Source organism: Homo sapiens, chromosome 2, assembly GCF_000001405.40.
Source record: "Homo sapiens chromosome 2, GRCh38.p14 Primary Assembly".
NCBI lineage: Eukaryota > Metazoa > Chordata > Mammalia > Primates > Hominidae > Homo > Homo sapiens.
In genome coordinates this window covers 142845725-142856557 of record NC_000002.12, presented here as the reverse complement: position 1 = coordinate 142856557, position 10833 = coordinate 142845725, and the positions used below count along the sequence as shown (strand labels likewise).

Sequence of the window (10833 nt, the reverse complement as noted above, 5' to 3'; positions counted from 1 at the left end):
AGTGGCATGATCTCGGCTCACTGCAAGCTCCGCCTCCCAGGCTCATGCCATTCTCCTGCCTCAGCCTCCTGAGTAGCTGGGACTACAGGTGCGTGCCACCGTGCCTGGCTAAGTTTTTGCATTTTTAGTAGAGCTGGGGTTTCACCGTGGTAGCCAGGATGGTCTCGATCTCCTGACATTGTGATCTGCCTGCCTGGGCCACCCAAAGTGCTGGGATTATAGGCGTGAGCCACCACCACGCCTGGCCAAGAAAAGTACTTCTTAAACAAACGAGCAAAGTATTTATCATTTATCATCAACCCCACCATAAAATATTACACATGATATTCAGTCTTCTAATTTTGTCTCTAAGGGGAACAAAAAAGCAAAAAAAAAAAAAAGTCTGTTCAGATGCTGAAGTCTAACTTGAAAGTATGATGCCTGAGTCAGGTGCTCATTCTAGTTCAATGCAGTGCCCAAACAGCATAAACAGTTGCTAAAGAACATGATGAGTGATGGGGAAGAATGCTGCATCTCAATCACAAATCCTCGAGATGAGAAGGAACTGGTCTGGCAGGTGTAACACAGGTGGGGAGCCCACACTACTTGAAGGACTTTGGAAATGTGCATCGCATCAAAGTGGCTCGGTATAATCCCGATCATGGTATCATTTGGGGGAACTTCACCTTTCAAAAGATCATCTCCATCTTTTTCCATCTCCTTTTTCATAGGTTTCTTAAACTCCTGAAGCTCTTCGACACTTATGTCTTCCCATATCTGATAAATAGAATCAATGACTTTCCTTGACTGCTTAAGCGCACAAGGATCAAAGGGGAAGAAGGCGTCCAATGGGTTGGTGCACGTTCACACCGAGTCTCCTCCAGCTGTATTTCTGGCCGTTGTTCCTCTCAATGATAGTGTAGCAGACTAGCTGATATTTATTCGTGACAGCAGCAAATAAGTTAACCACTGAGGGCAGGCAAATATTCAGAGGATTTAGCTGCCTAGTCACTATCCCTTAAAAATGTAGGCACTGAAGACATCTCAAACCTTCTTTCAGGTTTACGCTTAAAAGTTGCTTGTGTCTAAAAACAAAGGTGTGGAACACAGCTTGGAAGGCTGAGTAAAATGTTTGATGGAGAGCAATATCACAAAAAGCCTTCATTCTCAGATCCTGGTTAGTAAGGTATTTGTGTGGCCAGTTAACCGAAAGACCTAGGCATGATTTTATAGTTGTAATGAGAGGAATGAATTTAGCTTTTGCCAAAGAGCTTCCAATATAATTTCCAGCAGCTCACCTGATGATGACAGGATTATTTGGATCCTGCATTTTTTTTTCCCAGAGACGTTCCAAAAATGCTTCTGAGAGTCGCAATTTTAAGCCACAGAGGTAAAACATAAAAAACTGTACGTGACAGGAGGCAGGGGTTTGTCAAATATGTTTATCAGTTTGTGATATATTATAAATCCTTTATTTTGTTGTTATCAACCTTACCATGTATTTTACATAGCAGACATACTTCAAGTACTGCAAAAGCAAAGACAGCAGGGTGTCCAGGCATTCAGCTACAGGGTGCACCATCTGACCGAGCCATTTGGAGTCAGCCTTAGAAACAGTCTCTTCATCTTCGTTCATATTGAACAATCATTCCATGGAATCTGTCCCACCACAAGTTTGAGCTGCTGTTTCCTCAGCATCTTCAATATCATGCCAGAATGTATTCACATCCAATTTGAATAGATTTTTAATAATAAGCTTCAGAATTTCATTCCTCAAGGTTGGAAAGTATATACTAATCTTTAGTAAGTTATGAATGTAACATTCCAGTGTTCTCTCTGATTGAACAAATGGAAATGTTTCCACCAGTATGGGCAAAAGAAACCACAGTGCCAGTGGGACATATCTTGCTGTTATTTGTAAGGTTGTATGACGTGTGTCAAAATCTGCAGGAAGATAATCATCTCCATCATCAGAATCTGAAACATTTACATGGCTCTTCTTAATGATCATTCAAGGAGGGTACGCCAAATGGGAAGCAATTATGCTGAGACTTGGGCTAAGGAAGAGTCTGTTGTTACAAGACTACCCAGAGAAGCCAAATACTCTTCCACCACTGTTTGAATTCTATTCAACCAAGGCAATCTCAATGTAATACTGAGGAGCTGCTCAAAGTCTTTTGCCAAGTACATGATAGAAGAGCAAAATTTTCACAGCCAGTTCAAGATCTGGTCATCCTTTATGTTTGAATCTCACAACTGGCTCTTCAACAGCTCAAAGTTAAATTTGTTTCACTCTTTGTCCTTCGGCAAGACTTCTGTCCCCGTTCCATCAAGATGAACAATTTTTCTTGGGGGAGAGCTGGAAAAATCATTCTTGAATGCAAGCATATCTGAAATACTGGTCCATGACATACCCAGCTTCTTGACCACAGAAGCTGAAGCCTCTGCTTCCCCGGCAACCATGTGAGAAGCAGCCTGGTTGCCCCGGGGCTTAAAGTGATAGCTGCACCTCGCCTGGAAGCTCTTTCTCTTGATTACTATGTTACAACCTGACATTGTTCAGCTATTTGCTTTATATAATGAATCCTTTTAGGAAGAATTTTATCCGACTTCTAAAATTCATTATTTAAGAATGCTTTGTTATGGTAACTCACTTTAAGTTCTTTGTTAAATTTCAAGTTTTAATTTTCCCCCACTATTCAAAACATACTTAAATGCACCTATAGATAAAATCAAAAGCCTGCATAAAATATTATAAAGAAACTGGAAATAGATAAAGAAAAAAATCCCAGCTATAGCTTATATAAATCTGCTTCCTTAAATGCCAGATTTGTTACAAACACTTTGGAATATTTCATCGAAGTCTCATTATAGGTGAAGAATGAGTTTTATATCTCAGGAAAATAAAACACAAACACATAATGCCTTTGCATCAATGTTCAATATAATATTTTCTCTTAAAAGAAACAATTTACATTTAAAATACATAAGCATCGGATGCACATGCAGAGATATAACTGCACCTGCTTTCTGCCCTGAAGAAATGTACTGCAATTCCTTCTAGTCTGTATTACAATCTATTATCTAGCTCCAAAAACTATTTCAGCAGTGTTGTTTTAAAAATTAAACTATTATAATGTAGCTCAAGCAAATGATGGATCTTAAACTCGATATTCAGAGTATAGCCCTCTACCACTGATAGAAATTGATCCTTCTAAATCTCCAAAGTCAAAACATATTTGGAGGAAAAAAGTCTCAATTTGACTTTTAAAGTGACATATTTTATTCTGCCCAGCCAATAATTCTGTAGTATCATTTGAACACCTATTGTGTGCAAAATGTCAATGGACTACCAGTAAGAAACAGGATTTTAAAGCTCTTTTAATTTTATTTATGTATTTTTTGGAGACACTATGTTGTCAAGCCTGGAATGCACTGGTTCCATCAAGGCTCACTCAGCTTCAGCCTCCAGGACTTGAGCAATCCTCTCACCTCAGCCTCCCACTGAGTAGCTGGGACCACAGGCATGTGCCACCATGTCTGGTTTATTTTTATGTGTTTTTTTTTGTAGAGACAGAGTCTCCCTATGTTGCCCAGGCTGGTCCCAAATTCCTGGGCTCAAGCAATATTTTCACCTCAGCCTCCCAAAGTGCTGGGATTGCAGGCATGAGCCACCATACCTAGCCAGCTCTTTCAATTTTATACACCTATTGTTTTTTGTCTCTTGAATTGTTGCCTCTTTGCTTATGCTAAGTGAATCTCTACATTTACTATTGCTGAACAGATGGTCTTCTGTTACTTTAGGCTGTGTTTTGATGAAGGTTTCTCTTAAGTGAAATCTCACTATTTCCATATTTCCATAATACACCACATTCAGTCTTTTTTCAACGTTTTTTGTTACATTGGTTCCCCAATTCTTACAATAGCTTTCATATTTATTTCTGAAACTTCCAGTCTTAAATCCTGCTACAAAGTCTTACTGAAAACAAAGAAGATTTTTTAAAACATTTTAGTCCTGATGATTCCACATAACATTAATATTTAACTCCCTTTAATATCATTATTTGCCCTTAACATTTTAATTATTTAATAAATATTGAAATTTTGGAATATGGAAATGAATATTTGAAAATATTCGAATAAATGTTGGACCTCCAAATCGATCTTTTTAACCAAGATCTATGTCATTTCTTTCTTTGATTCCTAGCAGGGACTCTAGTAGGGGCACGGTATATGAATGTTGATTGACTGATTGTTTCTTCTATTTGTCATGCTGTTTGTCATTCCCATTTGACTCACTGCACAGGAGCCCACTAGTTTTTCTGCTGCTATCCATCTTTATAGCTACATCATATGGTGGGTATGAGAACACAAAGGCTTTGATCAGCATTGAAAATGGACTCTCAAGGATCTCATATTGAATATTAGGTCCAGGCATGGAGTGAAATTGTATACTCATAAATATTTGCAAAGAAATCCACCAAATTTTGGAAGTAAGTTATTAAGTATTATGCTCTGAGCATTTATCTGCTTATAACACAATGCTTATCTAAGTTTCTAAGATTGAGACAATTCACAGGTAGACAATCCACATGTGTAAGTGGCCTATTGGCCCTTTTCACTTAACATTGATTATATTCATAAGTTCCTCTAAAGGAAGTTTAAAATCCTCTGTCTGTCATTTCAAAAATCTATTGCTCAGAAGACGAGACCACACTAACAAGCCACTCAAGCTGGAATGAACAGCAGAAATAAAACATCAAACGCTATTAAAGGAATTAACTAGAGAATTATTAAGAACTATCTGAGGATCAACATGGATCATGAAGCAAGAGGGCAAGGCACAGGCAACAAACCCAATCAGATCATCAGAAAAACTCTGGCCAATGGTTTCCACTAGTGCTTCAATGGGAGGAACCAAGGTTATAACAAAAACTCACTGCAGAGATGTTATAGTTCATTGTGTATAAGCATTTAATGTACTGAAGTCTCATTACAGATATGGGTTCCACTACTTTTTACATACTCCTTCTCTTTATACAATCCCTTCAAAAATGGCCTCAAGATTTTGCTATATACAGAGCCCTGGTCTGTCCAGATGCAGACTTTCCATTAAGTTCCTATTCTGGTATGCAGAGGAGGAAAAAGCATGAAAGCCTCACCTCTGCAGAATGCTCTCAATTAATTCTTCCTCAGTGTGCTACCTGTGCTACTGTGCTGAGATGTCAAATGTGATACAAAAATAAACCCAAATTATAGCATTCAATAATTTCAGTGAACTGTACAGTTTTAAATTATCCCTTATTAGTTAACAACATGAACTATCTATTTCAATCAGACTAACCTTTTAACTATGCAAAATACCTCTCCTCCCATTTCTTCCACCGCATGCAGACTCTCCCAGCACAGACACAGATGCCATGCTGTCACACTCCTTATGTCCTGTCTGTGTTTGCTCTCCTTGGATAGCTTCTTCTTTCTTTCAGCCCATCTGTGTCCTGACCATCTTTCAGAAGTCAGGGGTTGGGTGACACTCACTTGACAATACTGAGGACTTTTTTTCTCTAATCCCCTTTTATTATTGTCAGTCAATTACATCGAACTTGTTCAAGCAGATGAACATAGGACACACTCAGTCAACTTTATGATGATTTATTTCTCTGCAGATGGCATCATAAAAGCAAAAGTATCATATCTGCTACATGGAGTCAGCTGGGTGCTGCCCCTATCAGAATTTTGTCACTTAGTAGGGCACCAAAAGATGGGTGGCAGGAGATGTTTTGTACCTGATGCCAACTCAAATGTCAAAAAACAGCTCCAAAAACATCAATATTTTCCTTGAAAACCTCTATGGAAGTGTCGTCAGTGCATTAATTTCAGACATTATGATCTAATTTATGTTTCTAACGTACTATCAATTGATTTATGAGCACGGTCAAATACAGAGAAAATCATAATATAGGAAGCCTCTTTATAGGTATCCTCCTTCATTATTCTCTGCCTTGCACTTCAATTTATCCAGTGCTCCCATACTGCTTGCCTTTCCAATTATGTTTTAGTGCTTCACTTGTTTCAGAAATAGTTTCATATCAATGTATGAGAAGAAAATACCTAACATGAATTAACACATTAGGATTGGTTGAATTTGAAGTTGTCAGGGGCAGGTCACTGAACAATATATGGAGATTTTTTAAATTTTTTAAATGAAAAAATTATACATATTATTGTGATGGAAGGGGGATCTTTTCTGCTACTCTCTTAGGTTAAGTAACTAGGGGCTTGTGAATTAAACTAACAAGAGACAGATTAGCAGGAGGAAAAAGCATAAGAGTTTAATTAATGTTTTACATGCATGGGAATTCACAGAAAATAAGGAAAACTCAAAGTGGTTTGACTTGGGGACATATATCATTTTAACAAAGGAAAAGGTGTCTGGGCTTCAAGGGTCAAGAAATCCTGGAGAATCGACCAGGAAGCTTATGAGGGAAGATAAGTGTTATTTTAGTAAGGCCTGTTGATGTCAATATCTCTTAGTGTAAATTCTTTCTCAGTGATTAATGCTCTTCTATGCCTGACACAGGGAAGGAGGAGGATCCCTTCACAAAGAGAGATTTATGCTCTACTTTTAGGCAGTTAAAGGGAGTGCAGAGAATTCTTCCGGAACTCAACACAAAATAATTCTTATGCCAAAGTGGCATATTTTGGGGTGGCATATTCTGATGCCCTCGACTGCTTACTGTAATGGGCACAAGACTGGATCATTGGTCTTTTATCCTTTTTAGAGATGTTTATCAATTCCTAATTATTGTTTGAAGGGATTGAGTCTAATGTAGAAGGGAATGATGCTGTTTAACCAGGGCAAAAATTTCTGAGAAAGCAGAAGAGCAGAATCCATCAATAGCTTATAAAGGTAGTGTATTGTAATGGATAGTGAAGCAAACCCTGAAGGGAAAGATTCATGTTCAACTCCCAGTTCAGTACAGTCAGCCCTCTGGATCCATGGGTTTTGTATCCATGGATTCAACAAAATGCAGGTAAAAAAATTATGAAAAAAAAGACAATTAAAAATACAGCAAAAAAGATACAAATACAAATATATATAGCATTTACATTATATTGGGTATTGTAAATAATCTAGAGATGAATTAAAGAATTCAAGAGGCTGCACATAGGTTATATGAAAATACTGAATTTTTTTTTTTTTTTAGACAGGGTCTTGCTCCGTCACCCAGACTGAGGTCAATGGCATGATCACAGCTCACTGCAGCCTCAAAATCTCAGGCTCAACCAAACCTCCCACCTCAGCCTCCCTAGTAGCTGGGACTACAGGTGTATGCCACTATGCCTGGTTAATTTTTGTATTTTTTGTAGAGTCAGGGTTTTGCCCAAGGCTGGTCTCAAACTCCTGAGCTCTAGGGATCTGCCCACTTCAGCCTCCCAAAGTGCTGGAATTACAGGTGTTAACTTTTTTTTTTTTTTAAATAGGGATTTGAGCATCCATTGATTTTGGTATCTGTGAGGGGTCTTGACACAAATCCTCTATGGATATTTAAGGACAATTGTACTTACTGTGAGAATTTTTTTTGGTTTCAGAATCTCTCTTAGTCAGTTTCTCAATGCATGAAATAGAGCTAATAAGCTAAAATTGTTATGAAGATCAAAGATAATAGTAAATACAAAGGTTCCAATATGTAAAACACTACATATGTAAAACATTTTATATATGTAACAATATGTAAAACACTGCAAAAATATAGTGTAACTATATTTAACATATATTTATATATGTTTATATATAGTGTAACTATACATAAACACTATTCTTTATTTTTCTCCTATAAGGTAATTTGGTTCTGTGTAGAGTTTCTCTGCTAAAAAACACAGAGAGTGCTACATTCTGTATTTCTCATGTCTGAAGTCAGTCCATTGTGCGCTGCTGATATTACCAAGCTCTGCTGAGATCTGCTTTGGGGTCTCCATGACACATTGAATAGAACATGACTTTAAAGTCAGAACACACAGAATTTATACTGAGAATCTGCCTTTTTTTTAGTTCTGTAGCTTTTGTCAAAAGACAACCTCTTTGAGTCTGTTACCTTATCTGTAATAATATGACGTGTTATCTCCCTCACAGGGTTCCTGGGAGACTTACATAATATTGTATAGGTCTAGGGATGTTTTCATGGGAAGTTTTTTTGAAAAGCTGTATGGAACTGTCATCAGTGCATTAATTTAAGATATTTATGGTCTTGTTTATGTTTCTAACATGTACAATCCATTGATTTATGAGCAAGGTCAAATATAGATGAGAATCAGTAGATGAGTTCTTGGTCACAGGAGGTTTTACACATGATAACATGATCACGGAGTGCCCCTTTCTCTCCTATCCCATTCATCTCTTAGTAAAATTTTCTGTGGAGCTACTTAGGAGGCTGAGGCAAGGCATTTAGCACCATCCTAAGCAACACAACAAGACCTCATTCCAAACAACTTTTTTCTTTCTGTGGATATGGAAGATGAAATACCAGTTTTGGATAGAGAAAGCTTGTATCTGGAAAGAACTCACCTTCAGAATGTGAATATGATTTAAAAATCATATTTTAAATGACAAATAATAATTACGTGTATTTATACGCTACTGTGTGATTCTTTGATAAATGTATACAACGTGGAAATCAGCTTATGTAACAAATCCATTACTTCACACACTTGTTTTTTTTTTGAGGGGGGATAATATTTAAAATATATTATTTTAGCAATTTTCAGATATGCAATGCATTTTTATTTATTATAGTCACCATTCTGTGCAATAGATAACTCAAATGTATTCCATCTGTCTGAAACTTTATGCCCTTTGACCAGCTTCTCTCTTTTCCCCATTCATCCACCTACTTCAGCCTCTGGTAACCATCATACTCTCTGATTCTATAAGTTCAACTTTTTTGGATTCACCTGTAAGTGAAATCATGCAGTATTTTTATTTTTGTACCTGGTTATTTCACTTAGAATAATGTCCTCCAGGTTCATCCATGTTATTGCAAATGGCAGAATTTTCCCCCTTTTAAAGGCTGAATAGTATTCCATTATGTATATAATACCATATGGAATATGTAGGCTCTTTTGAGTCAAAGGGAGTGTGCTATTTTGCTTTTAGCCATATGAAAGTGACCTTGAGACAAGGCACTACTGTGTTAATGGCATAGTATTTTACATACCTCATTACAGGTTGATGAATCTAAAGGCTTTTGTTTTGTTTTGTTTTGTTCAGGAGGAAGTGGGAAATAGAGAAGGTATGCATTAAAGCAGTGCCGTGTTAGAATGTGTCTGCCTTAACAGAATGGTAGTCAAATTGACTTAAGCTTAGCTTAGTCTGAAAATTCTTTAGATTCAACCAATAATAACAAAAGTTGCAGGAAGGAAGTGAGTTAATGTAAGAAGAGTAGCTATAATCATATTAATGACATCTAATATTTTCTTTTTCTTCACAGCCCACTCCCCAGACCTTCACCCTGACACACACGCGCGCACACACACACACACTCTCTCTTCTCTCTCTCTCTCTCTCTCACACACACACACACACACACACACACACATAGTACAGCCAAGAAGACAAAGTTGCAATGTGCCTAAGTTACTCTGTATCTCTTGAGGTACTTATACTGTGCGGGAGAAGGCAAGAACTAACATATTTAAACAGTGCTACCATCCCTACACTATTCTATATTCATAGGTCAATGGCAAAATGAGGAAAAGAGAAGGAAGGAAAGATACACATAAAAAATGTCATGGCTGGGCGTGGTGGCTCATGCTTTTAATCCCAGCACTTTGGGAGGCCGAGGCGGACAGATCATGAGGTCAGGAGATCGAGACCATCATGGCCAACACGGTGAATCCCAGTCTCTACTAAAATACAAAAAAAAAAAAAAAAAATTAGCCGGGCATGGTGGAGCATACCTGTCGTCCCAGCTATTCTGGAGGCTGAGGCAGGGGAATTGCTTGAACCTGGGAGGCGGAGGTTACAGCGAGCTGAGATAGCACCACTGCACTCCAGCCTGTCCAGCCTGGCAACAGAGTAAAACTCCATCTCAAAAAAAAAAAAAAAAAAAAAGAAAAGAAAGTCATTATGTTCCTCTGTGTTTGGTGAAATATGGTTTTCACATAATCATGCCGAGCCAACTAATTCTCTCAAATCCACTGAACGCTTAAGGTACATAAACACACACACATACACACACTCATCAGTTTATAAATGTGAATGAGAGGAGAGAAGTAAATAGTGAATGTTTCTAAGAATCGCAGAAATCTCTTAGTGTTTTATAAATGTAACTTTTAGAAGGTAAACTTGGGATTTCTACAAAAAGCTACCTTACATTTTGCAAAATATTTTAAATTTATTCTAGTGAGAAAAAGCATTTGTGAGAGGTATGTGCATTTTTGATCATTGATTTATGTAATCAGAGATCTCTGTATGGAGAGGAGAGGAGAATTTTGCCACATAAGATTTCTTTTTTAAAATTTCTTAAATGTGAAAAGTAGATGAACCAGCATGTAAAAATTCTGATAAATGTTAGTAGAAATGCCAGTGTAATTTTAGGGAAGGAAAATAGACTGACCAAAATTAAAGTGCAATGCTCAATAGACTAAAAATATTAAAGACGTGAATGAGCATAAAAGGAAAGACTAGCATAACAAAATGCTGTTGAATCAGAGCTAGTAAGAAACAAACTGTAATCCTAATCAATATAGAAGAGCATAAGTAGAAATGCATTTTAAACTGTAAATTCCACAGAAGAAAATACTAGGGCAATAGTTAAATGCATAAGTAATCAAATTAATATTGATTTATAGCCA

General features: G+C 37.2%; 1 pseudogene; it reads right to left on the bottom strand.

The window, feature by feature from the left end:
- Positions 1–255: 255 nt before the first annotated feature.
- Positions 256–2491, bottom strand: RRN3P4 (RRN3 pseudogene 4; annotated as a pseudogene).